At 48.8% G+C, this 27516-nt stretch overlaps 1 protein-coding gene across 3 annotated transcripts in view, besides 18 other annotated features; it reads right to left on the reverse strand.

Moving 5' to 3' along the window:
* TMPRSS2 (transmembrane serine protease 2) overlaps positions 1-26533 on the reverse strand; it is a 43854-nt gene extending 17321 nt beyond the window's left edge. For 2 of the 3 annotated variants that reach the window (NM_005656.4, NM_001382720.1), the window contains exons 1-5: positions 26456-26533; positions 16494-16564; positions 12731-12953; positions 7882-7968; positions 6769-6888 (exon numbers count right to left, since the gene is read on the reverse strand). In NM_005656.4, the coding sequence (NP_005647.3) occupies positions 6769-6888; positions 7882-7968; positions 12731-12953; positions 16494-16508 (445 nt within the window). In that variant the 5' untranslated portion in view covers positions 16509-16564; positions 26456-26533. The other variant, NM_001135099.1, reaches the window with a different exon arrangement.
* Positions 3643-25385: a mitotic recombination region, noted in NCBI's record as "TMPRSS2 recombination sub-region, recombines with the ERG recombination sub-region. This represents the genomic range from 26 different TMPRSS2 genomic breakpoints.". NCBI's record gives the evidence for it as "EXISTENCE:nucleotide sequencing assay evidence [ECO:0000219][PMID:23447416]".
* Positions 12448-12449: a mitotic recombination region, noted in NCBI's record as "case 16 TMPRSS2 recombination sub-region, recombines with the case 16 ERG recombination sub-region". NCBI's record gives the evidence for it as "EXISTENCE:nucleotide sequencing assay evidence [ECO:0000219][PMID:20601956, PMID:19363497]".
* Positions 14342-14343: a mitotic recombination region, noted in NCBI's record as "case 31 TMPRSS2 recombination sub-region, recombines with the case 31 ERG recombination sub-region". NCBI's record gives the evidence for it as "EXISTENCE:nucleotide sequencing assay evidence [ECO:0000219][PMID:19363497]".
* Positions 16556-16557: a mitotic recombination region, noted in NCBI's record as "case 28 TMPRSS2 recombination region, recombines with the case 28 ERG recombination sub-region". NCBI's record gives the evidence for it as "EXISTENCE:nucleotide sequencing assay evidence [ECO:0000219][PMID:20601956]".
* Positions 19349-19350: a mitotic recombination region, noted in NCBI's record as "LuCap93 TMPRSS2 recombination sub-region recombines with the LuCap93 ERG recombination sub-region". NCBI's record gives the evidence for it as "EXISTENCE:nucleotide sequencing assay evidence [ECO:0000219][PMID:20601956, PMID:19156837]".
* Positions 19815-19816: a mitotic recombination region, noted in NCBI's record as "case 24 TMPRSS2 recombination sub-region, recombines with the case 24 ERG recombination sub-region". NCBI's record gives the evidence for it as "EXISTENCE:nucleotide sequencing assay evidence [ECO:0000219][PMID:20601956]".
* Positions 20274-20362: a protein binding site, noted in NCBI's record as "region showing enrichment for dihydrotestosterone-dependent DNA topoisomerase II beta binding, near the case 24 TMPRSS2 recombination sub-region". NCBI's record gives the evidence for it as "EXISTENCE:chromatin immunoprecipitation evidence [ECO:0000226][PMID:20601956]".
* Positions 20355-20356: a mitotic recombination region, noted in NCBI's record as "case 3 TMPRSS2 recombination sub-region, recombines with the case 3 ERG recombination sub-region". NCBI's record gives the evidence for it as "EXISTENCE:nucleotide sequencing assay evidence [ECO:0000219][PMID:20601956, PMID:19363497]".
* Positions 22349-22350: a mitotic recombination region, noted in NCBI's record as "case 17 TMPRSS2 recombination sub-region, recombines with the case 17 ERG recombination sub-region". NCBI's record gives the evidence for it as "EXISTENCE:nucleotide sequencing assay evidence [ECO:0000219][PMID:20601956, PMID:19363497]".
* Positions 23944-23945: a mitotic recombination region, noted in NCBI's record as "case 30 TMPRSS2 recombination sub-region, recombines with the case 30 ERG recombination sub-region". NCBI's record gives the evidence for it as "EXISTENCE:nucleotide sequencing assay evidence [ECO:0000219][PMID:20601956]".
* Positions 23957-24115: a protein binding site, noted in NCBI's record as "region showing enrichment for dihydrotestosterone-dependent DNA topoisomerase II beta binding, near the case 30 TMPRSS2 recombination sub-region". NCBI's record gives the evidence for it as "EXISTENCE:chromatin immunoprecipitation evidence [ECO:0000226][PMID:20601956]".
* Positions 25630-27023: a promoter, noted in NCBI's record as "-1112 to +282 fragment used in the pGL3-TMPRSS2-Wild reporter construct". NCBI's record gives its function as "drives TMPRSS2 gene expression in transfected A549 lung adenocarcinoma cells {active_cell/tissue: A549}" and the evidence as "EXISTENCE:reporter gene assay evidence [ECO:0000049][PMID:32376987]".
* Positions 25630-27510: a biological region, named in NCBI's record as "TMPRSS2 promoter region". NCBI's record gives its function as "regulatory_interactions: LOC117134608 | TMPRSS2".
* Positions 26503-27510: an enhancer, noted in NCBI's record as "fragment N used in the reporter construct". NCBI's record gives its function as "activates an SV40 promoter by reporter gene assays in LNCaP prostate cancer cells {active_cell/tissue: LNCaP}" and the evidence as "EXISTENCE:reporter gene assay evidence [ECO:0000049][PMID:17679089]".
* Positions 26621-26655: a protein binding site, noted in NCBI's record as "guanine-rich tract TMPRSS2-G/-C probe". NCBI's record gives its function as "binds EGR1 in Calu-3 lung cancer cells {active_cell/tissue: Calu-3}" and the evidence as "EXISTENCE:protein binding evidence [ECO:0000024][PMID:32376987]".
* Positions 26621-26655: a protein binding site, noted in NCBI's record as "guanine-rich tract TMPRSS2-G/-C probe". NCBI's record gives its function as "binds Sp1 in Calu-3 lung cancer cells {active_cell/tissue: Calu-3}" and the evidence as "EXISTENCE:protein binding evidence [ECO:0000024][PMID:32376987]".
* Positions 26621-26655: a sequence secondary structure, noted in NCBI's record as "guanine-rich tract TMPRSS2-G oligo that forms a G-quadruplex in the presence of potassium ions". NCBI's record gives its function as "represses TMPRSS2 promoter activity in the presence of stabilizing benzoselenoxanthene analogs in transfected A549 lung adenocarcinoma cells {active_cell/tissue: A549(+benzoselenoxanthene analogs)}" and the evidence as "EXISTENCE:electrophoretic mobility shift assay evidence [ECO:0000096][PMID:32376987]" and "EXISTENCE:spectrophotometry evidence [ECO:0001126][PMID:32376987]".
* Positions 26625-26651: a transcriptional cis regulatory region, noted in NCBI's record as "range of guanine-rich tract bases mutated in the pGL3-TMPRSS2-Mut reporter construct". NCBI's record gives its function as "positively regulates the TMPRSS2 promoter and necessary for repression by G-quadruplex-stabilizing compounds in transfected A549 lung adenocarcinoma cells {active_cell/tissue: A549}" and the evidence as "EXISTENCE:site-directed mutagenesis evidence [ECO:0005528][PMID:32376987]".

Raw genomic sequence — 27516 nt, forward strand, 5'->3', positions numbered from 1 at the left:
CATTACATATCAATAAGCTGTTTTATATAAAAAATTATATCTCAATAAGCTATTTCATATATATGTTTTATATATAAAAGCACTGAATTATATACTTGAATTTTATGGTACATAAATTAGATCTCAATAAGCTGTTTTTAAAAATATATAAGATAAGCCAGGCATGGTAGCTCACGCCTGTAATACCAGCACTTTGGGAGGCCAAGGCGGGCAGATCACCTGAGGTCAGGCGTTTGAGATCAGCCTGGCCAACATGGAGAAACCGATCTCTACTAAAATGCAAAAATTAGCCAAGTGTGGTGGCACGCATCTGTAATCCCACCTACTTGGGAGGCTGAGGCAGGGGAATTGCTTGAACCCAGGAGGTAAAGGTTGCAGTGAGCTGAGATCACACCACTCCACTCCAGCCTGGGTGACAGAGCAAAACTCCGTCTCAATAAATAAATAAATAAATAATAAGATAAAAGGTTTTTTTTTTTAAAGTGCTCTTTAAGAGAGCACTTTGAGCAACAAATTGTCCAGGAGACTCTAAATCAACATTCTGCTGAAATGATCTCAGCTCTTTTATTTAAAGAAACAAAACATTACAAACACCGTTGAAGTCGCTCCCTATTCCCAATCTCTTCTCTCCCTCCCTAGAGGTAACCACCATCCAGAGTTTTGGGGACTTTTTGCTGGGCAGGATAATACATGGGGTGGGCGTATTCACAGAACAGAATCCCATGCAGCTTAAGGGTTAAGCAGAGCATCATGAACAGGAAGAAGCTTGAAAACAGCGCTGTGGGAAAGAGAGCAAGTGATAAATGATGCGTTCAAGTATCACGTTATTCATGCAAAGCTGAAAGCATGGAAACAATGCTGTGTGGTTTGGGAGAAATACACATGGGCTTAAAGTATAAAGTGAGGACCTGGCTATGCTCTAGCCTCTCTTCTTACTTCCTACGAGTGGCCCTGACTCACTGGACAGTCTGGTACCTGTGGGCTTGTTCCCCCATGAAATGACTTGGGTCTGATTATTGTCTAATGCCTCTGTGGTGAGTGATTCCACATCCTATCTGTGAGTCGGTCACAGGTTACATGAATGGATAAACATTGTGCTACATCTGGACAACGGAATATTATTTGGTGCTAAAAAGAAATGAGCTATCAAGCCATGAAAAGGCATGGAGGAAACTTGAATGCATATTACTAAGTAAAGGAAGCCAACAAAGTGAAGGAAGGTGTATGTGGTGAAGGCTACATACTCCATGATTCCAACGCTACAACATCCTGAAAAGACCAAAACTTCGGAGGCACTAAGAAGATCAGATAGCTGGGGTGAGTGGGGAGAGAGAAACAGGTGCAGCAAAAGAGGTTTTAAGGCAGGAGAACTACTCTGGACGATACTATCATTGTGGCTGTACAGCATTATGCATTTGTCAAATCCCACAGAACTGTACAAGAGAAAGGGTGAAGTCCAGGACTTCAGTTCATCATAATGTATGCATCAGGTTCATCGGTGTTAATGAACGCACAGCACTGATGTGGGATGTTCATAACAGGGCAACTGTGTGCTGGGGAGGAGTACAAGGAGCTCGCTGCCCTGTCTGTTTCATTTTCTGTAAACCTAAAACCGCTCTAAAATATAAAGTCTGTTCACTTTTTTAAAAGTAACTGAAATGAATACACTTCTTCTTCTTCTTCTTTTTTTTTCTTGTTCCCAGGCTGGAGTGCAATGGCATGATCTCAGCTCACCGCAACCTCCACCTCCTGGGTTCAAGAGATTCTCCTGACTCAGCCTCATGAGTAGCTGGGATTACAGGCATGCACCACCACGCCGGCTAATTTTGTATTTTTAGTAGAGACGGGGTTTCTCCATGTTGGTCAGGCTGGTCTCGAACTCCTGACCTCAGGCGATCCCCACCCCCTCCGCCCCCCACCTCGGCCTCCCAAAGTGCGGGGATTACAGGCGTGAGCCAGCACACCCGGCTCAAAATACACTTCTATGATTAAAAACAAAACTGCCACTGTGGCTCAAAGGGAGACACTTCATTCTTGGCTTGTGGGTAATTTTAGGGATTTTCTTTCCCTTCCAGCTATCTGCACCCGGAAGAGACGGCAGCTGATAAGCCAGAGAGCTGGAAAAGGTCTCAAGCTAGTCCTTTTTTTTTTTTTTTTAAATATTAGGATTTTTTTTCTCAGCTTTGTCAAAGTATAGTTGACAAATAAAAATTTTACATGTAGGCCTGGTGCTGTGGTTCATGCCTGTAATCTCAGCACTTTGGAAGGGCAAGGCGGGAGGATCACTTGAGCCCAGAGTTCGAGACCAACCCCATCTCCACCAAAAAATATAAATATATATGCATTAGCCTGGCATGATGGTACATGCCTGTGGCCCCAGCTTTTCAGGAGGCTGAGGGGGAAGGATGGATTGAGCCCAGGAGGTCGAGGCTGCAATGAGCCATGACTGAGCCACTGCACTCCAGACTGGGTGACAGAAGGAGACCTTGTCTCAAAAAAACCCAATTGTACATGTTTAATGTGTACAGCGTGATGACTGGATATCCGCTGTGAAATGCTCACCATAATAAAGCTAGTTAACATGTCCACCACGTCACATAATTACCATTTTCTTTTCTCTTTTCTGTGGTGAGAATACTTAAAATCTGCCCTTTTAGCAAATTCCAGGTATAGAGTACAGCATTGATAACTAGAGTGAACAATTTAGTTTCTTTTCTGAGATTCTGAGAAAGACTCACAGAAAGGATAGCAACGGAAGTAGAAAGTGAATTAGTGTTAAAATATGCGCACACACACCCTTGGGAAGAAAGCGCTACACACATTTTTGAATGTTTTCCATGGGACGGGTCATATTCTTCAGCATCCTAAGGTGTTCATTTCAGCAAAAACAATTTCTACTCTACGAAATGGACAAATTAAAAGTGCACCCTATGCCTGTTCTGGTCTAAGAGAGAATACATGCACAGCGTTATGTTTGTCTGTTTCCTTTTATATGAATAATCAATATGGAAACTGGATAAAACCAAACTGAAGCCGGTCTAGGTCTGTCAGGTTACAGATCCACACGCCCTCTGACCTAGCAGTTCTACTCCTGGAAGCGTTTCCTACTGATATGCTCACACACTTGGAGCAGTGTGTGTTACAGCAAAAGGATGGAGAAAACCTTAAGGTCCACCAAGAAGAGACAGGGGCAATAATGGTGCGTCCATGCAAAGGACCAACTGTGCCATGGTGGGAAAAAACAGGGGGCTCATTTCCCTAAGGAATGCTGTCCAGGATGGTATCCAGTGCAGGAGAGTCAACTGGCTAGGAACCACTGGGAAATAGGGTCATGGTAACGCAGAAATACCTGTGCTTCTTTATGCAAAAACTCTCTGGAAAGAGAAGCAACTCAGATGAGTTGCCCCAAGAAATGTGATTGGCTGGTAAACAGGTGGGCATGTATGGGAGTGATGCGTGTGTGTGTGTGTGTGTGTGTGTGTGTGTGTGTGTCTGGGGTGTATGGGGGGATGCGGGGTAGGTAAGTAAGCAGAGCAAGGAAGAAGAGATTTTTCACAGCATACCCTTTTGTACTTCCTTGATTTTGACCTAATAATACTTTAATAGTGTACAACTATTAAAGTATTTAAATAAATACGACTTAAATATTAAGAAGAGAGCAACTCTTCAGGTAACATAAGGACTTTGTTGGTGTTTATTCACCCACATGTGCACATAGGAGAACATCAAAAGCCATTCCAGGCCAGGCGTGGTAGTTCACGCCTGTAATCCCAGCAGTCTGGGAGGCTGAGGCAGGAGAATTGCTTGAGGTCAGGAGTTCGAGACCAGTCTGGACAACATTGATGAAACCCATTTTCTACAAAAAATACAAAAATTAGCCAGGTGTGGTGGCGAGCACCTGTAGTCCCAGCCACTTGGGGGGCTGAGGCTGGGGGATCGCTTAACCCCAGGACATCGAAGTTGCAGTGAGCCATGGTCATGCCTCTGCACTCCAGCCTGGGCAACAGAGTGAAACCCTGTCTCCAGGAAAAAAAAAAAAAAAATAGAAAGAAAAGAAAAAGCCATTCCACGTGCTATCTTAACCTCACGCTACTCAATCTCAAAAACTCCCACTTTATTTTAGAAACCAAATAAAGCAAAAGAACTATGTTTAATCAGCAAATGCATCATTTTCAAGTGCAAACCTTTTTCTGGGAAGCAAGACTGTGCTGGAGGAAAGGTATCAAGAACACGGAACACTTGGGCCTGCTCAAGGCCGGCACGAGGGCCGAGCTCCACGGGCCAGTGCTCCTCACCAGGAAATTCCACAGCCAGGACTGACAGCGAGGGCTTAACAGGAAACCAGTCCCCACCAAGGATGGCCCTTAGGAGAGGGGGGATTACTTTGGCATGGAAAAATCTTTGGCTAGAATTCTCGGCCAGCTCTGAGGCTTGTGGTTTCTACAGAAAACTCCAGGAGGTTAGGACTGCACTTGAGGGAGGGGAGGAGAACTACCTAAGAGATTTCTGGTAAGTCCTCTGACTCTACAATTCTGAAATTTCTATTTCTAGAAAAAACAAATGGTTCTAGTGTAAACATGTCAGAGTGTGCTTAGCTGGAACTAAGATATGAGAGCACACACCACCACCAACGCTGATCCACAAGCCTGGAATACATGGCTGTGCTTGGGAAATAACTTTTTTTTGTTTTTTGAGATGGAGTCTGGCTCTGTCGCCCAGGCTGGAGTGCAGTGGCGCAATCTCGGCTCACTGCAACCCCCTCCTCCCAGGTTCAAGTGATTCTCCTGCCTCAGCCTCCCGAGTAGCTGGGACTATAGGCCCGCACCACCACGTCTGGCTAATTTTTGTATTTTTAGTAGAGACGGGGTTTCACCATGTTGGCCAGGCTGGTCTGGAATTCCTGACCTCGTGATCCGCCCACCTCGGCCTCCCAAAGTGCTGGGATTACAGGCATGAGCCACTGCGTCCGGCCAGGAAATAAGTTTTAAAGGAAGAGGAAGAAAAGTAAAAGGCAGCTCTTAAAGAGAAACGAGCCAGCTCCCTGCCATCTGCAGAGCCCCATTCCGTACGCAGCTGGCAGGAGGGGGATGATTAGCACAACCCTCATACTCAGGATCGTTTCCCTGTTCGAGTCACTAACTACCCTTGAAATCACCCTCAAAAATTCATGAAAAATACAAATAAAAATGCAAATGAAAACCACAATGAGGTATCATCTCATACCTCTTCAAATGGCTACTATCAGAAAGATGGAAAATAACAGGAGTTGGTGAGGTTGTAGAAGAGAAATGGAGACTTTGCACCGTGGGGGTGGGAGTGGAAGTTGCTACAGCCATTATGGAAAACAGTATGGAGTTTCCTCAAAAGGTGAGAAACAGAACTGCCATGTGATCCAGCAATCTCACTGCTGGGTTTATATCCAAAGGAAAGGAAATCCGTGTGTTGAAGAGGGACCTGCACGCCCACGCTCACTGCGGCATTTTTCACAACAGCCAAGACATGACATCAACCTAAGAGTCCATCAGTGAATGAAGGGATAAAGAAAATGTGGTGTATATGCACAAGGCAATACTATTCAGCCACAAGAAAGAAGGAAATCCTGTCATTTCCAACAACATAGATGAAGCTGGAGGACATTACGCTAAGTGAACAAGCCAGACACAGAGACAGAAACACTGCATGAGGCCACTTACATGTGGAATGTATAAACATCAAACTCACAGAAGCAGAGAGTAGAAAGGCAGCTATCAGAGGCTGGGGGCGGGGGGTGACAACACTGGGGAGATGTTGGTCAGAGGTCACAAAATCTTAGTTAGACAGGAGGAATAAGTTCGAGCAATCTATTGTACATCATAGTGACTGCAGTTAATAAACTATATGTTGCATATTTGAAAATCACTACAAGAGTAGGTTTTATGTGTTCTTAATAAGACACGTATATGAGGTAAGGCCCATGTTCTAGCTTGACTTAGCCATGCCACAGGCATACACGTATCCAAACATCATGTGGTATGCCATAAATAGGAGCAATGCTTCCTAGTTCATTAAAATGAATAAATAGATAAACCACAGAAAATAAAATGAAACAGATGAGCCCACCCTGTGACAACAGATAGATCTTTAAAGGCAGCTTGTTTTGAAAATAACATAGTGCATCTCCAATTTTGTTTTTAATTAATTAATTTATTTTTTGAGCCAGCTCTGTCTCCCAGGCTGGAATGCAGTGGCGTGATCTCAGCTCACTGCAACCTCCGCCTCCCAGGTTCAAGTGATTCTCCTGCCTCAGCCTCCTGAATAGCTGGAATTACAGGCACCCGCCACCGCGCTTGGCTAATTTTTGTATTTTTAGTGGAGATAAGGTTTCACCATATTGGTCAGGCTGGTCTCAAACTCCTGACCTCAGGTGATCCATCTGCCTCGGCCTCCCAAAGTGCTGGGATTACAGGCATGAGCCACCGTTCCTAGCCTGCATCTCCAACTTTATAAACAGTTTGCTCATCTTAACTGACTTCCTGTGGCAGTTCAGAGCACGTGTGGTTCCAATGACACAGTCCTCGGTGGCCCTGTCATCTCCCACCTGCTGGGTGAGGTTGGGCCGGAAACACAACCTCTCTGAGCCCCAGGGCTCAGCCTGGAGCAGGGATTCAATGACATCATGTGTCAGCGTACTGGACGCACGCCAGGCCCAGTCACCCAAAGGCCCCTGGACCCGGCTGCTGTCTCCAAGGTGAGCAGAGGAGTCCCTTCCCAAGGTCAAGGCTGACTCACCACACCGATTCTCGTCCTCCCCGCCGGGGCAGTGTGACACGCCATCACACCAGTTAGAGGGGTTGATGCAGGTACCTGAGGAGTCGCACTCTATCCCAGAGTTGGAGCACTTGCTGCCCACTTGCAGAGAAAACAGAAGAGAGGTGCCCTTCAGGCTGAGAAACGCAATGAGCCTCATGGAGTGAGGAACACCGTGGCATTACTGTAGCTCGCTGCAGCCTCCAACTCCTGGCCCCACTGTGTTTTGTTTTGTTTTGTTTTTGAGATGAAGTCTCATTCTGTCACCCAGGCTGGAGTGCAGGGGCACAATCTTGGCTCACTGCAACCTCCAACTCCTGGGTTCAAGTGATCCTCCTGCCCCAGCCTCCTAAGTAGCTGGGATTACAGGTGCACGCCACCACGCCTGACTAATTTTTGTATTTTTAGTAGAGATGGAGTTTCAACATGTTGGCCAGGCTTGTGGTCTCAAACTCCTGACCTCAGGTGGTCCACCTGCCTTGGCCTCTTAAAGTGCTGGGATAACAGGCGTGAGCCACCTCACCCAGCCAATCCCCCACTTTAATAAGGAGGAGAAGTGTCCTTGCCACCAGCAAGTATAAGTGGAATTAGCACTGGGGCACCTTACTTCCGTGGGGGCAATGGGAAGGACCCTCTCAGTGTTTGGGTTTGGACGGCACTCACACGTCCTCTCTGCCACACAGGTAACTTGAAGGATCCACAATGGCACATGGGTCTGCACCACCCCAGGCTGATGGGAAGGCTCAGGCTGCAGTTGCAGGAGGTGGGACATGGAGGGGTGGGCCTGGTCCCCAACAGCCACTGCTGTGCAGTGAGATACAGGTAACTGGGTGTGGCCCCAAGGTAGAAGAACCTGTGCTCACAGTGCTGGGTGGCACCAAGCACCCCAAAGCACTGGGTACATTCTAAATGCTTTCCCCATGATGTGTCAATCTCATAGCTAAACAAGAGAAGGGAAGAGAGACAGCCTCGTTATGTAAGAGAGGAACCTCACGGAGGGCCTCCAGAGGTCTCAATAGCCCAGAGAGCAGGGTCTGGCTCAGAGCACTGGGGACTGCAGGAGCACATGGTGGGATCGAGGCTCCCTGCACTTACTGAACTTCCAGAGTAGGCCAGCGGCCAGCGCAGCTCCCACGAGGAAGGTCCCCAGGGTCAAGGTGATGCACAGTGCTTTCTTAGTCTCTGGAAGAAGGAGGAGAGTGCAACGTTCAGACCAGAGTTGTTTAGAAGTCATGCTCTCAAATGTTATCTATTATTTTTATAGTACACCACATTAAGAAATAATTATTTCATATACACTTAAAAATGTGACTTTTAATTTTAAGAAATATCATGGACGATCCTACTTCTTCCATAACACTAAACCTTATGCAATTTGGAGACCAACAGGAGGAAGCTGTGATCTTCAGCAAAGTACACCGAGGTTAGGCTCTTTTAAAAAGTATGGTATGCTTCGCTGGGCGCAGTGGCTCATGCAGGTAATCCTAACACTTTGAGAGGCTGAGGTGGGTGGATCACTTGAGGTCAAGAGTTCAAGACCAGCCTGGCCAACATGGTGAAACCTCGTCTCTACTAAAAATACAAAAATTAGCTGGGCGTGGTGGCAGGTGCCTGTAATCCTAGCTACTTGGGAGGCTGAGGCAGGAGAATCACTTGAACCCAGGAGGCAGAGGTTGCAGTGAGCCGAGATCACACCACTGCACTCCAGCCTGGGCGACAGAGCAAAAACTCTGTCAAAAAAAAAAAAAAAGATAGTATGCTAAAAGAGGGTCTTAAAATAGGCAGATGATTAATGTAAAAAAAAAAAAAGAACTAAGACCTCATCTTGGTAATTACAAGCATAAGCAAAATAATAATACTGTCCTAAAAACTATCATCACTCTGTTAGTGGTACTCAAAGCAGAATAAATTGTCTTACCCAAGGCTATTTAGCGAATGGATGCTACTGTCCCATTCGGACATCCACCAAAGCTACATGTGGCTATTTAATTAATGTCCCATGGAATTAAGTAAAATGATGTAAATTCAAGTGCTCAGTCATCATATGTGGCTGGTGGCTACCATGTCAGACAGTGCAGCTGTAGAACCTTCCCATGGTGTCCCTAAGTCCTGCTGGACAGCGCCAGTGCAGGCCTTTTGGTCCAAGTGCAGAAATACCAAACTCAGAGGAAAGGCACATTTCAGAAAAAAAACGAATTTGGAAAAGGTCACTGATTTTTCTCTAGTGAGACATAGCATTATTGGTCAGAGGGTAAGCCAAAAGTCACACAGAGTTCAGAAGACAGCTACAGGTGCCAGAGAGGCATGGCAGAGTCAGACGCTGGGCTCAGCCAGCTCATGGGCCAGGAGGGAGGGCATCCATCCCCATCACCCCAGTGATGCCCAGCAGCCCCAGGTCCAGGAGCTCCCAGGAGCTTTCCCTGAAGAAAGGTGCAGAGGTGGAGGAGAGGGGAGGAGAAGGCATTTGAACAGACCCTCCCAGGCTGGAGAGGTGGTGTGGCAGCCTGGAACTCCCCACCTGGCCACACCTGTGCCTCCGGAGGTCTGCCAGGGCGATAAGCTCAGAGCTGACCCATCTGCTGAGGGCTCGATGCCATACCTCTCTCTTTGTGACAACATTCTGATAATTCTACCATCACTCTCAAACTGTTACAGGCTTAAGAATTACCTGGGGAATGTGGTGGTTCCCATCACCAGAGATTCTGTTTCAGTTGGGGGTCGGGCATGAATCTGCATTGCATTTTTTTTTTTTTTTTTTTTTTTTGAGACAGGGTCTTGCTTGTTGCCCGGGCTGGAATGCAGTGGCACAATCATGGCTCACTGCAGCCTCCACCTCCTGAGCTCAAGCCATCTTTCCACTTCAACCTCTCAAGTAGCTGGGACCACAGATGTGCACCACCATGCCTGGCCCATTTTTGGTAGATGAGGTTTCACCATGTTTCCCAGGCTGGTCTCGAACTCCTGGGCCCAAGTGATCCACTCGCCTCAGCCTCTCAAAGTGCTGGGATTACAGGTGTGAGCCACTGCACCCGACCTGAATCTGAATTTCTAACAGGCTCACAGATGAGGCCAGCACCACTGGTCTGAGGGCCATGCCCAGGCACACGATGTTCTCATAACTCGGCTGCAATGATTATATATGATGGAGGCAAGCTGGGGCCAAGGTAGTTCATGAGAGAAATTCCAGATGCCCTCTCTGGCCCATTACCAAGGACACTTTCCTCCGTCTATGGCTTCCCGAGTGCCATTTTATCCAAGATAAAATAACTGGTCTGCTGAGATGAGGGCTATTCAGTTAGGTATCCTGAACCTCACACTGAGCATGTGCCAATCTGTACAGTTCTCACCAGGAGAGTGTGTAAAGCGGGAAGCCCTCAAGTTTACTTTGCTGGACAGGCATCTGTAGTCAGCGCGTGGTCAGTACAGACACCACTGGGTCTTGGCTTGTCACGGCTGCTGTTGCACAGTTTAATTACAACTCACTGGCCCGGCACAGTGGCTCATACCACCCATGCACTTTGGGAGTGGATCTCAGCACTTTGGGAGGCCAAGGCAGGAGGATCACCTGATGTCAGGAGTTCGAGACCAGCCTGGCCAGCATGGCAAAACCCCGTCTCTACTAAAAATACAAAAATTAGCCAGAAGCAGTAGTGCACCTGTAGTCCTAGCTACTCAGGAGGCTGAGGCAGGAGAATCGCTTGAACCTGAGAGGCAGAGGTTGCAGTGAGCTGAGATCGTGCCACTGCACTCCAGCCTGGGTGACAGAGCGAGACTTTGTCTCAAAAAACAAACAAACAAACAAACAACAAAAAAAACCCACGCACACAAAACCCACTATCCATTTCCCTCAATCATGACCAACTTAAGGTTGTCAACTCAGCCTCATGGTTTCTCACGTTTAGCTGCTTGTTTCACACGCACATTTGGAGGACTATGGACCTTCGATTCTCCAAAGCCTAAGGTTTAAGCTGTGTGTTCGCTCCTACTCAATCATCAACCTTCTACGGCTGTTGCTAAAGCAAATAAATACATTAAGTCTAGAAAAATTCCTTATACTCCTGATGGGTGCTTCTGAATTGGTGCTACTCAATAACTGGGAGAAGAGTTTCAAAGCCAAACATTACACTTTCAAAATGTATACATTTCTATATATTAGATGCCAACAGTGTTTTCTTAAAAATAGTACCAGGGTAAGTTCAATTAAATTACTAAATTATTTCTGAGTTTATAAATTTTATAATGCAAAAATCATACATGTAGGTTCATATTCTTCCCTTATAAAAGCAACTGATAAGGGACTGATATATCCCTGTCCAACTCTGTCATCATCTAGTCTTTCCCAGGAAACGTGGAAATGTGTCCATCATGTGGGCCAGGGGTTCGTCTGCCTTCCTGGGTTTAGCCATCACTGGTGGGAACACCACCGTCTGGAGATGCTGACTTCAGGAGAGGGCCTTCACTGCCATTTCTTAGGGGGGTAGCTCACACAGACAGTTCCTTATCCCCTTCACCCTGGCTTCCTTCCATCCCCACGGTGGACAAAGATCAGGAGTTCCCAACCTCCACACTAAGCGATATTTTACCTGGAGGATTCTTTGCTGTCGGGGGGCTGTCTTGTGCCTTGCGGGAGGTTGAGCAGCATCCCCGGTGCCTACCTAGGAGCAGCACCCCCTCCCCACTTGTAACCACCCACACTGTCTCCAGACACCGCCAATTGTCTCTGGGGGTCCAAATTGTCCTGACTGAGAACCACTGGCCTTGACCTACCCAACCACCCCCAGAAGAACATCAGTGCAAACACAAGTATCTGCTTGGTGGGGAGCATCGGAAGAAGGGAAAGAGAGAATGAGAGAAGGGAGAGAAAGGAATTAAGGCTCATGAAGGGGTAGAAAACTCAGAGACAGGAGGTGGCTGGAGAGGAACAGGGTGGAAGAGCCATTTGTGAAGGGTGAGGGGGTGAGAGGAGGGGTAGAAACGCAGGAGCGGCAGCACTTGTCCTGAGTGGGGGAGAGGTGGGGACAGACAGGGCTTCACAGAGCACTGGCATTAATCACGTTGATGACTGATTATGTGATGTGGACACATGGAAATTCACATTCTGACGAATCTCTAACTGTACAAGTTGTAGAGACAGGATGCACATTTCACAAAATAAAATAAAAGCACTATCAATTAAAAGATCAATGTAAAAGATCTTTGGCGTAGCCACTGCTGTGCGGGTTCCACCTGGACAATTCTTAGCACTGAAACTAGCCTGAATTAACAGCTGGGAGGCAGTGCAAGAGGGGCGGACTGGAAAGACATGAGACCAAACGAAATGGCAAAGAAAGGAGATGAATGGTAGGGTGAGGAAGAGGAGGGACTGAAGTGACAGCAAATAAAATTTAACCTCCAGTCCTCCCACGCTCGCTCTGGCCTGCTCCGGCCACCCGCAGGACCCTGAAGCCCAATGAGACAGCTCAGATACTTCTGTGTGACAACCGCACCAGCCAGGTCATCTACTAAACACAAAGTAACAGAGAGCATCTTAAACATGACCTGTCATATCCAGGGGACTGTATGACAAAGGTAAGATAGTTGATTTCTGCTCTTGGAAGCTTACCATTTATTCAAGAGCAGCCACCAATAAACCACACAGCCAAGAAACCCAGAGAAGGTGATCTCGAAGCCTACGCTGAGTAGAACAGGCAAAGCTGTACAGGAGAGTTAACGGAAGAGGGAGGTATCTGCAGGCCCTGGGCAAGAGGCTAGGCCTGGCAGCGACAGCTTTGACCCAGCAGGAAGAGAGTGGAAAGGCATGAAGACAGGCTGGCTCCGGAAGACGGAGGAGAAGGGTCAGACCAGGAGAGGTGGCGACAGTGGTGTTGGGAGCAGAGAGCCCACTGGGGAGGTAGACCCGGGACCCCGGGTTTATTACAGGAAATAAACACAAAGAGAATCCTACTTGAGGTGCACACTGTCCCGGATGGGGATTTGGGCTGCGTGCAGACGACGGGGTTGGAAGCCTGCGTCAGGACCCTCGGGGCGTACTGGGGCACGGGGGACGGGTAGTACTGAGCCGGATGCACCTCGTAGACAGTGGGGACCACAGTGGGCTGTGCGGGATAGGGGTTTTCCGGTTGGTATCCATGGTTTTCATAGTAAGGTCCAATAGCTGGTGGTGACCCCTAAACAGTTGAAAAGAAGATGAATAATATAAAACTCTTATTTGCACTAAAGGGTTACATACAAACTATCACATCATACCACAGCTATACCAATGATCTTTTAAATTGATAATGTTTTTATTTTATTTTGTGAAATATGCATCCTGTCTATACAACTTGTACAGTTAGAGATTAATAAGAAAGTGACAAGATATTAAAAAGGTACTACAAGGCTGGGTGCGGTGGCTCATGCCTGTAATCCCAGCACTTTGGGAGGCCGAGGCGGGCGGATCATGAGGTCAGGAGATCGAGACCATCGTGGCCAACATGGTGGATCCCTGTCTCTACTAAAAATACAAAAATTAGCTGGGTATGATGGTGGGCGCCTATAATCCCAGGTACTCGGGAGGCTGAGGCAGGAGAATGGCTTGAACCTGGGAGGCAGAGATTGCAGTGAGCTGAGATCTCACCACTGTACTCCAGCCTGGCGACAGAGCAAGACTATGTCTCAAAAAAAAAAAAAAAAGTAATAGAAAAGAAGAGGTACTACAGATTCTCCCTAGGTGTCTACAACTATGTCAAACATTGAACTTATTTAGAATAAAAACTAACCAGAACTTTCAATTACCAAAGTTTTTTGTTTTGGTTTGGTTTTACTATTCATTCTTTTTTTCTTACATGTCTATTTATTAAACAGGAGTTCCTTCATGACAATTTAATACAATATTTATTCACGATTACAGTTGAGAAAATTATTTCCCTCTACATACAAAAATACAGATTTGGCTGGGCGCAGTGGGTCACTCCTGTAATCCCAGCACTTTGGGTGGCTAAAGCAGGTGGATCACCTGAGGTCAGGAGTTTGAGACCAGCCTGGCCAACATGGTGAAACCCCATCTGTACTAAAAATACAAAAAATTAGCCGGATATGGTGGTGCACGCCTATAGTTCCAGCTGCTTGGGAGGCCGAGGCGGGAGAATTGCTTGAACCCGGGAGGCGGAAGTTGCAGTGAATGGAGATCACGTCACTACACTCCAGCCTGGGCGACAAGAGCGAAACTCCCGTCTCAAAAAAAAAAAAAAAACCACTATGAAAACAGTCAAGACAAGTACCATGAAAAATGGGTCCTTCAAAAGAAAGAAAGAGGGAAAATTGAGGTCATTGTGAGACTTTGTCTGCTGTTGGGGAGAAATCAATGGCAGCAAAGCTCTGGGGCCCCTGACCCACTCAAGACGTACAGACTCAAACTCGAGAACCACACAAGCCAGGGCAAACCCACCCCAGGGCTTCTGCATCTGCTGAAAAGCCAAGCATGCAAACCCAAGTTTGCCCAATGGGCTATGTATTCTTTAAAATTAAAAAAAAAAAAAAGTGGCAGACATTGGGATTTAGTAAAATATAGTAATAATTTTAAAAAGTTGTGTAGAGGTTTGGAGTTAGAATCCATTAAGCCAAAATCCTGTACTTTTAGTTCCTCCAGTCTTTTCCTTGAATATTGATATACAAAACTGTAAACTAGCAATATCATAATTATAATGAGAAGAATAATAGCTAACATTGGAGAACTCAGCTGCCGCCAGGCTCCTGTACTCATAATCTCCTTGAGCGCTCACCATAATCCCTCCCGCTGCCAGCGAGACTGGCACAGGTATGAATTAATACAAACATTTTGCAGAGAAAAAAACTGAGTGAAGAAATGTTCCTAAAGGAGCATAGTCTCTGTGTTATCCTGCAAATACCTCTTCTACATCCTCTTCTCTCATATAAGGAATGTATCGTCATTCACTCACCATCTGCTATTAATGGAAATTTGAGTGGTTCACAACATGGGCTGTTAGCAGCTCTGCTGCAATAAACATTCTGACACATTACATGCATTTTTGTGCAGAGGGTAGAAAGGTGTAGCTAAATCCCTTTAAATGAAATTTCTGGGTCAGAGTGTGGCCATACATAAATGTGAAAGGAACTGCCTAGAAGTAGCATTTTATTCTCAGCTCCATCCTTCAGCTGGTGCCTATCTTCTTAGAATGCCCACCTCCCCTTCCTCAGCCTACTTAAAAATTGCCTTCCCGAGACCTACCCTGTCAAGACTCGCCCCAAACAGGCCACTCTGGGCCCCACCAGCCCACATCTTCCCCTTCTTTCAGCTCTCCCCGGTTACCTGTTGGCTGGGCCACTCTGGGAGGCCACGTTTTCCTCTTATCTGTATCTAAGGGCCCCCATGCAAAACTTTTTCCTATTCATTAATTTCTGCCTCTTGTCTCTCTCTCCTTTTTTTTTTTTTTTTTTTTTTTTTTTTGAGACAGTGTTTCCCTCTCGTTGCCCAGGCTGGAGTGCAGTGGTGCGATCTTGGCTCACCGCAACCTCTGCCTCCCAGGTTCAAGTGATTCGTCTGCCTCAGCCGCCCGAGTAGCTGGGATTACAGGCATGCACCACCACACCCGGCTAATTTTTGTATTTTTAGTAGAGACGGGGTTTCTCCATATTTGTCAGGCTGGTCTCGAACTCCCAACCTCAGGTGATCTGCCTGCCTCGGCCTCCCAAAGGGCTGGATGACAGGCATGAGCCACCACGCCCAGCCTGCCCCTTGTCTCTTATTGACCTCAGAGAATGACAGCAAGTTTGTACTCAATGGACAGGTGTTCTGAGCAGAGGCAGCATAGCTCTTAGAACTTTAAATGAGGCCTCCAGGGAAGTTGATTACAATGGAATGAGCCAAACAAGGCCCGCAGAGTTCACCTCCACTTAATAACTCACTAATGCTGTCCTTCAAAAGTCCGAAGATTACAGCTCTGAACCAGAGCAGCACACAGAGGGAAAACACAAGGTAATCTCTCATCTAAATGAGGGAGTCAGAGGCTGCAATCTCAGCCATCTAAGAACTTGCCATCCACTAGCAAGCAGGTTTGTCCCTGAAAATTCCTGAGCAGTGGACTTGAAATTAAACACAGACCCAGTAAAAAATGAATATCAGTAACAAATAAAGGGGAAAACAAGGTCTATTTTCCAGATATAGAATCTAGGAAGTGTTTAAAACTCTTTACTAAATGCACTTATTTTAGGTATAAGGCAAACGGGCCAGTTACAATGGGGAGCAGAGATTAGCCACATTTGTCTCCAAAGGGAGTGGGCTCCAGGGAGAGGGAAGGCCCGCCCATGCCTCATGCAGTTATGACTTTTCCTAGTCCTTCAGTTGGGCATCGATGGGATCCCACGTGGGTCTCTTCCCTGGAACATACCCCTGTTATCGCCATCCTGCCTCATCTGTCCCCACTCCTTGTCCCTGCCCCCTGCCCTGCAAAGCAGGAAGGGATGAGGTCAAGGTGAGAATGCATATCACCCACGTGTACCCAACAGCCATGGCTCTTGCGACTCACCTGGGCAGCTGTGTGGCTGCGCACCTGACTCACTCTTTCTAGAGGGTGCCTTGAACAGCATCAGCGTGGCCCGGCGTTCCCTACAAATAGCCCTTGCAATTGCTGACCCCAAACAATGTTGGGAATAACAGAAGGGACAAGGGAACAAAGAAAAGGCCAGGAAGGTAATAATTAACCACTTACTGAGTTCAAAGCCATCTTGCTGTTATCAACAGCATCGAGTAATGATAGGTATCTGGAATGTTCAATATGACCTAGAAGAAAGAATTACAGGACTGTAATATTTCCATACCAGTTAGTTTTTAGAAGATAAATCTGGAAAGAACTAGAAGAATCTCTAGATGAAGGTTACCTACAACAAAGACCAGTGTTGCCTGCTGACCTTTGGCCTGCATCTTCACCACTGCTTCCCCACATCCCTCCATATTTAAGGACTTTGGGACCCACTTGTGCCTTAGAGGTTACAGCAGAAGCACTCTCCTCTGGGATCAGAGTGGGTAGGAGGATGGGGTGCAATTGTAAGTGCAGCGGCCAGGACAGCCTGACCAGAAAGAAGAAGGAACACACTCAGTGACTCAAACATCCATCGGGAAGGGCTCTCAGGGGACTGCCTGGGGCTCAAGGCCACCCACAACTCCAGTGCCACTAAGCCCAGGCATCCTGCTGGACTTAACCCAGTTCTCACCAGGAAGCTGTGATATCCCCTATACAGAACATCTACTCAAGGGAGACTGTATGGCATAAAACACTGAAGAAACACGACAAGGTAACTAAACCCATCAATGTCAGCAGAGATTAAGGACAAGATGGGCCCAGGAGGGAAAGACCTGGGCCAGTTCCTGGCAACACAGCTCCCTGGAAGTGTCGATGTGTGAGTTACTGAACCTTGTTGAAATCTCAGGGTCCTCATGGGAAAACGGACAAAGCAATCACCACAGTTGTGTTAAGCTGAGGGTTGTGGGAGAGTGGGGAAAGAGTGCCTCACAGTACTAGGAACTGAGGAAGAGCAGGTGCAATCAGACCGTCTTTCCCCGAGAACGTCCACAGGCACTGCCAGTAGCCACCCACTGCCCAGCGGGTGGTTCAGGGCTCAGCACCAAATACAGCTCACAGTTGACTTTTTAAAGCAGGCCATGTGGGCCCTCTCAATTTTTAATAGATACATACGCTTAAAATAATCCATAAAACATGTCCACAGTCACTCCATTTACTACCCCAAACCCAAAAAAGAAAGAAATTCAGAGCCAACCATTTTGACCACTGCTAAGATTAGCAGTAATGAAAAGAAAGCTGTGGGCCATTTTGCTTGTTGTCCTTTGTGAACAGTTAACAATAATAGCTAGAGATGCCGTCAACACGAAATGCTGTATAGTAAAGCCGCATTCTGACATCACTCTCCATGGACAAAGATTCTTCGCTTGATCAAACTTATATCAAGCTCCTGAACCTTCTAGGCCATCTGTGCATTTCCTTGTAAAATCCAGTTTTAGCAAAAAACCTTGCTCAGTCAGTTTAGCCAGAACCTCCCACCCTCGGTATCTGATCACTCTGGATATCTGATCGGGTTCCTCAGCCTCCACCGTGCCACAGGTGATGTCTGATCACCCAGCCTGTCTTCAGCAAGAATCCTGTTTGGTTGGTTTAGCCAGAATCCCCCTTACCCTTGATGTTTTCTCTTTGTGATTTTTCCACCCACCAACCCCACCCTGATCCTTGGTTATAAATTAACTCCCACTTGCCCATACTGTACTCAAGCGGATCCCAGTCTCTTCTTCCCACTGCAAAATCTGCTGGCTGTGGTCCCTGTACCTGCCTCCGTGGTCCTGAATAAAGTTCGCTTCACCATTTTAACAAGTCTCATTGGACGATTTTTTTTTCTTTAACATGCACCTTCCTGAGCAAATAAAGGGCTTTTTTCCACCCCTTCCCGCTTGGCTTTAAATGACCAAAGAATATTTTAAGAAACGGGGTTCAAGATTATCCGTCCACAAGACCATGTTCCCAATGAGGGAACAAGAACCTGGAGGAGGCTCTGGGCTTCGGACCTGGCCAGACCAGTGTCCACTGTCTGTGACATGGCCACAGAAGAATATTTCCCAGTTGCTGGCACAAAGCAGGTGCTCAAACAGCAGCAGGCAGCACTGGGCAGCGGTTCAGCCCCTGACCTCTGAGACTAGACTCTAGATCCAAACTCAGGCTCAGCCACTCACTCTCCATGACCTGGAGGAAGCTATTGAAGGTTCTGTGCCTCAGTTTCCCCATCTGCAAATGCAGATAATAGTAACACCTACCTCCAGGGCATTCCATGAGTTAATACTAATGAAGTGCTTCATGCTTAGCATAAAATGAGTGCTATATAACTTTCCATTAAATAAGAGGAATTATAAAGCTGATAAACATTTAACAACCTGCTGAAGGAAAAGAGGGCTGTCTTGATTCGCAGGTTTGCCTTCGGTAAGTATTCCCAGGCTACCAACATGAAGCCCACCACGGAGCCAAGTAGAGTGGGGCCGGCTTCAGTACACCATCGCTTTCCTGTGTCCTAAGCAGAACTGGTTGCTGAATCATTAAACTATAAAACCCCAACAGCCTGCCATGAATGAAAATGAGTATATGGCTTTTTAGTCTCGAGAAACCTCACCCAACAGGTTACAACAAACATGCACCAATCATTTATTTACTCTTCAATTACAGATAAAAATACAAGAACCAGGTCATGTTGTAGCTTTGGGACTTTTTCTAGGATTAAAACTAAAGTTCACACCTTCCTGGGTATAAGGAAAGGAAAGTGACTAATGTACAGGTGGGAAGGATCACCATTTAAAATGTATCAAAAACGTTTAAGCCTTTTAGCCACATCTTAACAGACCTTGCCTATGTCTGCTTTGTGAAGAGAGAGGATCCTCAGGCTTGACAACACAATAAATCCCGCATTCTTGTCTCATAAGCAGGACAGAACTCAGTACCATCCTAAGATTGCTTTCAAAGAGTCCTGCCTAACCAAACACATCCTCATGCCTCTGGTTTCTCGGCTGTCCTATCTCCCCAGTTACAGGTTTGGTTGAAGTTTCAGGAAGTGAAAATTCGATCCCATTGGCAGCTCTCCCAGCTCAGAAGCCCTCTGAAAGGAGTGAAGAATCAATACTCAAAACCCACACTTGCTATTCATTCACGATCCCTAACAAGGAAGCCAGGGAAGGAAGGAACACCGGGAGCCACCACCATTAATTGTCAAATAAAAGCCATGGGACCCAGAGGCAGTCACAGGATAATCCTATCTCTTCCAGCAATCAGAACATGATAAACAAAAATATTCCGTGTGCCCAAGTCAGTTACCATGGACTTTGGAATGGAAGACCAGAGTGATGCTGCCAGTAACATTCTCCAGCTGGGCCGGGCACGGCGGCTCCTGCCTATAATTCCAGCACTTTGGGAGGCCAAGGCGGGCAGATCACCTGAGGTCAGGAGTTCAAGACCAGCCTGGCCAACATAGTGAAACCCCATCTCTACTAAAAATACAAAAATTAGCTGGGTATGATGGTGGGTGCCTGTAATCCCAGCTACTTGGGAGGCTGAGGCAGGAGAATCACTTGAACCTGGGAGGCAGAGGTTGCAGTCAGCCAAGATTAGGCCACTGCACTCCAGCCTGGGTGACAGAGAGAGACTCTGTCTCAAAAAAAAAAAAAAAAAAAAAAAAAAAAGAAACAACAACAACATTCTCCAATTGAAAATAAAACAAGGGGGGGAATGTCCCGCTCTGACATTAGATCTGCAAGGGGAAGCACTGCTGTCCCGAAAAGACCAGGAAATCACATTCAGTCCTGTTCATCTTCAAAACAGGCATTTCCTCATTCACACAAGCTTGTACATCGCATTAACTCATTTCTGAAAGGAGCAAGACGTAAAGTAGATGGCGAGAGACAATGCTGTTTAGCGAATGCTTGCTCCTGTCATTTAAAGGACCGGGATGATGGCTCTCAATTCTGGAAAGCCAGCCACCATGAGCACTTGGGGAAATTTTCCTTTAAGTGTGAAAGAGCAACAGTGGGTGGCACTCAGGCTCCATTCCTGGCTGGCAGGGAGCTCTTCCTTCAATACAGACAGTGTCACCCACTTGAATCTCACAATGGCACACAGCTGTCCTCGCACTGTTTTGGTCCATCCTGGACTGAGAGCTGAGTCAGCCCATGAGTCACCTGCCTGGCCACCATGCAGCAGGACGATGCTGTGGCATCGTATCCGCATCCCATGACATGATGAAGTTACTGCCAAAACAAGAATCTTTTCTCCTAGTTTCTCTCCTCTGGAGATCTCAGGACACGTTTACTGGAGACTTACTTTCCAAACAACCAAGCCAACGCGAATGAAGTTAGGCTTGTAGACACTGACTCCCACCCAAGATCCAGGGGTATTCTCTGCAATGAAGTCTCCACTGACCTCACCGTGCACCATTGTGCACACACCTTCTCCTTCTCGAAGCCCCCACCTGTGACTGGTACGGTTCGAGTTGCTGGAGGTGTGAGAGGGAACAGACAGCCTCAGACTCAGTGCCCCTTCTTCAAAATCCAGACAGCACCACCACCACCATCCACGGACACATCCCAGCCAATGACCAAATCATCAAAAAGAGCCCTTTATGCCAAAATAACCGCACTAATATCACATTATACAACGAGATGTTCTATCCTCCTAAGGATAGAATGCATGACTAAATGAGTTAGCCAACAGTGGATTTCAGTGGCTGTTCAGCAGAAACTTGTTTATGTATAATCAGGTAAATTGCATACACAATGATTGGCACAAGAGTTCTACTGAGAGAGAAAGGTTGAGCGAGAAACAGAAAGATCACCTTAGGAGAGGTATTGCCTGCATCATCCAAGTTTCTTTTCCTGTGAATGACTCATTGTCCCAAAGAGATTACAAACTTTTTAGGGCAGATATCAGGTCTGGTTCTCTCTCTTTCTGTTTGTTTTTTAAATCTCACTTTGTAGCTTACAAAGACAGTATTTAAATGTTTTTATGGAGTTCTTACCACCTGTACCCCAAAAACTATTGGGGAAAAATTAATAAGCATGTTTGGCAAAGTTGAGGGATACAAGATCAATATAAAAATCTATGTGTTTTTATATACCAACAACAGACGATCGGAAATGTAAATTTGAAATACAATGCAATTTGCAGGAAAAAATATATATTTTTTGAGTTCCAAAGGCCAAATGAGTAAGATGAAATTTAGCAGAGGGCGATAAGATGCCCACACCCAGACAACACCAGCAGCCCAAGTCAGGACAGTGGGTGACCTCCCAGGAGTCCAGGTGCCTCAAGCTGAGTGCAACCTGGCATGACAGGCAGGCAGGCGGCAGAGGCCCTCAGGTCACTCCAGGCGGAGACTTCAACACCACACACAAGCCACTGGCTGAGGCTTAAAGAACTTGTCCAAGTCAATCTGTAAAATGGGGATGATACAGAAATAGGGTTGTTGCAGGGATTAAGTGAGAAAGCAAGGCCGTAGCTCAGTGCCCAACCCATGGTGAGCACTCAATAATAACATAATGATGGCAGATAAGGTTTATCTTCCAACACGTAAGAGCCGGCTATGTGGAAAAGGAATTCAGTTTATTCTGCATACATCCAAAGGACAATACCAGAATCATGATCAGAATTTCCAGAAGAGCAGGCTTGGATTCTATCTGGGGAAATCAAGGTTCCAACAATTAGAAAGTTCACATATGGCCTGGAGCTACCTTAGAATGTACCGAATTCCTCAAACCTAAAAATGTATGTTTCAAGACTGGAGGATCATTTCTCCAACATATTCCAGAACAGAATTAGGCTTGAGCATCAAGACCAGACATAGTGATCTTTCATATTACTCCCAACTCCTTATAAATGCATCATCACCAGTGAACTTGAAAATGTCAGCAAATTCTCTGTTATCAGTATCTTGCACAAAGAACTCCAAGCCCATCGTCCCTAGAAAGCATGGTCTCCCATGACCCCTGGGCTATACTGCAGTGGGGTCAGGCTGAGTGCCCCGCCAGGACAGCCCCTTGGAAAGCAATGGCCTTAAAGGGAATTTGACACTGCATTGTGCACCTCGTACAAACAAGCAATAATAAAAAGCCTCAGCTTAGTTCCATCTGCCAAGTCAGACCTCGCTTGAAAATATTTTTCTAACAAATCCAATTGTCACAACCTCTCATTCTGAGTCCCACTTGACAGCCCCGATTTTTCCACCTAGTCTGCCCTTGAGTGAACTTCCAGACTTCTGCTGCCACAACCACAAGCCAAGGTGCCCTTCAAACACTTCCTGCTTTCTTACCACAACTCTGTGCCCTAAACTCCTCCTGCCCTCCTGCCATGGATGCCCAATGGCTCAGCGCCATCCACACATAGATGTCAGAGCCCTCACCTCCCTCTCCCAGACTCACCTCCAGGAGGATGAAAAGCCTGTCTTCGAGTTTCCTGCCCTCTCAAACTTCACTCTGTTTACAACAAAAGTAACCACCCACACCCCTGCCAGAAAACCAGCCTCGACTCCCAACCAGCGCATTTCCACTCATTCAGTTCCTCTCTCCTGACCATTGCTCAGCAACCAGGAATAACCAAGTCCCAGATCAGGCTCTGCCTCCTCCTGGAGCCCAGCCTCTGTTCTAGGTCATGCTGAAGAGCTGCCTGTGTGCTCAACCAAGCTGCTACCCTGTCACAGATCCCCCTTTTGCTCCTCCTTGGGTGTCCACAGGCTCGGTGGGGCCAAGGTGGTCAATGGCCATGGGGACATCATAAGCCCCCTTCTTCACACCCAGGCCCATACCCCTGGTGCTTGCAAGTCAGGGCTTCCCAAATCACCCTTAGGGCCAGGAGGGGCCCCACAAAGGCTGACTCCATACAGGCCTCAGCTCTCAGGTACATAATGCTCCTGCACCCCAATCCTGAGGCCACGCAGTGCATCCCATATTGGAGGATCCCCTGGCAGGTGTCCTGGAAAGTAAGGAGGGGCGGGGAAGAGTAGCAAAGGCCTGGTGACTGTGGGATGAGGGACACTCAGGGAGTGCAGAGCAGGAGGGACCAGAGAGCAGAAATGCACCTGGGCCTTCAATGCTCCTGGGCTCTCTGGTTCCCCACAGGGAGCTCTCCCTGCCCTCACTCTCCCCACTAGCAAGGCCACTTTCCAAGTCTTCAGCAACCAAAACTGAACAAGCACTCCATTGACCATTCACCTTTCCTTTCTACCTCAATGTCCAAGGCTTAGATCTGATCAGTGCTCCCCAAACCCAGAATTTTCAAGAGGGCTTAGAAAAATAAATAAATAAATAAGATGCCTGGGCCCCATTCTCAGAGTCTGATGTAATAATTGGGACCAAGGCAATGATCCCATATTATTACGAAGATCCCCTAGGGAATCTTGCCGCAGATTCAGGTGGAAAAGGGTAAGAGTTATCAGCCAGACTTTTGGTTTACATTTCCTGGTAGGGGGACAACACACTCGGATGATGATGATCGTGGTGGTGGTGGTTACTGGCATAAGGTACTGCACGCATCTACCTTTTCACCTACAGGACATTTGCACCAGCGTCTTGTCACTCAATGCCCCCATGGCCTAGGAGGTCAGCCCTCCGCAGGCCCCCTTTCAGAGTTCCAGGCACTCTGGCCATGTCATACTGCTAGAGGGAGCAGCACGGAGCCCAGGTAGGGCTGTGGGCAGGGGCTGGGCTCTTTCAGGTCGGGGAGAACCAGAGCCTGGCCCAGGAACAAGCCCTTTTCAATCAGGATTCCGGGCGCCTTGTTTCCAGCTTCCTTCCCTCCTTTCCTCCACTTGCTGGTAACATTCCAACATCCTGGAGGGAGAACCCAGGGAAGGATCAAAAGGAATCCGTACTGTGCCGATTGTCACTAAAGCCCCTTCTAAGCATCCTGTGTCTCCAACTCAGAGCCCGACACTGGAAGCACTGACCTATGGAGCCAGACAGGCCATGTTTATCCCCAGTTCTGCCCCTTACAGGTTACAAGATCTTGGACAAGCTTCCCAACCTCTCTTCCCCAGTTTCCTTACAATTGAGTTAAGTACATTATAAAGGGTTTGCAATGATGCCTGGCTGAAAAAAGTGCCACATCAATGTCTGTGGTTATTATTATAATGCCAGTGCAGCCAAATATACTCCTACAATTAAGGTGACTTGAGTTCAAGATAGAGTGGCCAACGGTGCCAGGCAGGCCAGCACCTAGCAACCTGGGAGGCCCTGCCTGAGGCTCCAGCAACAGCACAAGCTTGTTGTTAGAAGGTTGTCCTTGGCTGGTGGGAATAAGGGAAGCTGCTGGGGACCAAACAAATGTCCAAGCAGAGAACAAAAGCCCAGCCAGCTCACCAGCTGATAATTAAAAATAACCAGAGGCCGAGGTGTAGATGGCCATCTCCAGGCAGAGGTCTCAGCCCGTAGGTTGCACCCCGAACTCTCCAGCCTAGTGTGTCCTTACCCGAGGGTGTTGCTAGGTTTCATTCTAACCTCACCTGTCCAGTAGTTCTGTAGCGGAGCAGGGCAGGTCCTACTTCTTCAAAAGCACTCAGTAAAGGTGGGGAAGTCCTGAGCAACCTCCAGTGACTTTCTGGGGGAGCTCCCGGTTACCTAGCCCACCAGGTCCTCCCTTCACAGCAGCAGCTCAGGAGCCAGGACTGACTTAGCTACTTGCGTCCCCAAGGCCCTTTGCGCTGGTAAACTCTCCCTGCCACACTCCCAACCCCCATCCTTCCTTCAGGGGAGGCTGGCTGCATCCCCACTTCCTGGAGTACCTTCCCAGATCTCCTGGGACAGGTCAACAAACTTAGTCTCACTTTAGGTTTTCCAAATGCCTTGTAACTGGGCTGCGTAGCCTTTGTAATTTTCCATGATTCGGGAGGTTCTCGCGGCTGGGAGCTCCGTGAGGTCAGGCATTGCCTTGGGCGCGATGCGCTCATCTTTCCCGCGGGACCACTGCACAGGTTCGCACGGAGGGAAGGGCTGCGCAGCCTCGAAGGCGAGCCCTGGGTGCTCCCTGCCCACAGGGCTCACCTCGGGCCGCCGTGCTATCCTTTCCTTCCCAAACAAGCCACCAGGATTCCTCGTGATTAGGGCTGCCACCAGGGCGTTCTGAACAGGATTCAGGGCCACCGCGCTGTGCTCTACGGCGGAGCGGGCGAAGGCCCTCCTCTGCCACAAGCGCTCAGGGCTCTCGGCGCACAAACTTTCTGGACATGGGGCAGTTTTTCAGCTGGACCCGTGCTCGAGCAGAGCGCCCACTGCCAGACTGGAGCACTTGACCACTCAGGGTGCCACTGTGCCGAGCCGGGCAGGACAGGATGAGGTGGACCGAAGCGCCCAGGTGCCCCGCCTTCCCCCCAACCCGGCACGGAGCGCAAGCGGAGGAGCCAGACCGGCTCCTCCCGGGCGGGTTCCTGCCGGTGCCGGGTGTCCAGGAGGCCCCGGCCCTGATCGCCGCCAGCGGGTCGCCGCAACGGGGCCTGAGTCGCGAGCAGTCCCTCCCCGAGACTGACTGGCCGTTCGCACCTCGCCCGGGGGCCCTCCAGCAGCCTGGCCCAGCGGTCCCCGCCGCGCCGGCCGTATCGTTCCCGGCATCTCAGCGAGTTTCCAGTTTCTCCCTACCTCAGTAGGGAACCAAGAAGCAGAAGGAGTTCAGGTAACACTGCGGGACTGCAGAGATTTCCCCCAAACAAAGAAGCCAACCGACAGCACTCCCAGTCCTCCTCCCCAAAGAGAAAAGGCGCACCGGTGCTCCCAGGCGGGGGCCGTGGAGGGCAGGCGGACTAGGAGCCAGCTTTGGGGACCCCGGGGGACTCTCTTCCACCAACTGGCTAGGGACTCGCAGGACCACCTGCCCCAACCTCGCGATGCCAAGCCAACAGGGGCGGCGAGGGCTCTCGGCCGTGCGCAAGGGGTCCCAGGCGCCCAGCACTCTCCCAGCACCCCGGGAGGCGCCCTGCCCGGCTGGCCCCAGCGCTCGACCCTCGGGCGCACTCACCTGCCGCGCCGCGCTCCTCACACCCGCTTTCACCTCCGGGCGGGGCAGGGGGCATCGGCGGGTCCCAGGCGCCCAGGTTCCCCTCCCCAGCCCGGACCCCGAGCCGGGACCCTGGTACCGGCGCCGCTCACCTGCCGCGCTCCAGGCGGCGCTCCCCGCCCCTCGCCCTCCGCCTCCGCCTCCGCCTCCTGCTTAGCTCGCGCCTACTCGGCCCGGCCCGCCCTGGCTCTCGCTTTAATCTCAGGAGGCGGTGTCCCAGGGTCCAGGGCGACACCCCCAAGCGGGTCGCGGGTCACCCTGGGCGGGCGGGGGCGGGGGCGGCGGGAGGAGGCGTTTCCCAAGGGAAGTCCGGGACGGGTTCCCTGCCTGGCTCAACCCCGGCTGCGGAGGGACCCATAAGGGACTCTGGGGCGCTTCCCGGGCCCGGCCACAGCGGCCAACCTGCCCCTCTCCGGTCCGCGGCGCAGCGCTGCCCGAGGGCTCGAGTTTGGGTTAAGGAAGGGGATTCTGGGGAGCGCTCCTGGAGTCCTGGGTGAGCCCCCGGAGCTGCTACCTCACGAGCTCCTGTAGGCGGCCGGCCCCGTCTTGGCCTCCGGGGAACCCACTGTAGCCTCTGGGCAAGGACCCAGGGTAGGCCTTGGGGACTGCTGGCCCAAGCACGAGTGGCGGGGACACAGCGCCGGACGCCCAAGACCCTCCCCAGTCCGCCTAGGCTGGCATTTCTTGGCCCCCACCAGCGTCCGGTGGAAAGTGCTCCCCCGGATGGTCCCAGGTCTCTCGGCACCACCGGCCAGGGCGGGAGTGAGGAAGTGGTGGGACACACCTCAGCCAGGAAGACGTGGCTGTTCCCGGGCACTTGAGAGGTTCTTTCTAATGTTTGCAATTGTGGGGGCTCAGAATTCACCAGAATTTAATAGGACCGTAGACCAGAATTCATCACCCCAAGTAGGACTGGAGGAGACCAGAATCTGCTACCCCAACATAGTCCTCTTTGGCACATTGATGATTTGGAACTGGTTATGTTGAGGAACTGCAGACACCAGAGTACCTCTGAGAAAATGCCCTTTTGTAAAGGAAATTTGCACCTATAAAGGAAATGTTTGTTAGTCAGCAGATCTGTACCAGGAAGAGAGCTGTTCCCGGACAACTTTTATCACCTGGGAAACTTTTATCTGCCTCACACGGCAACCTG

The sequence above is a fragment of the Homo sapiens genome, chromosome 21 (genome assembly GCF_000001405.40).
Source record: "Homo sapiens chromosome 21, GRCh38.p14 Primary Assembly".
NCBI classification, from domain to species: Eukaryota; Metazoa; Chordata; class Mammalia; order Primates; family Hominidae; genus Homo; species Homo sapiens.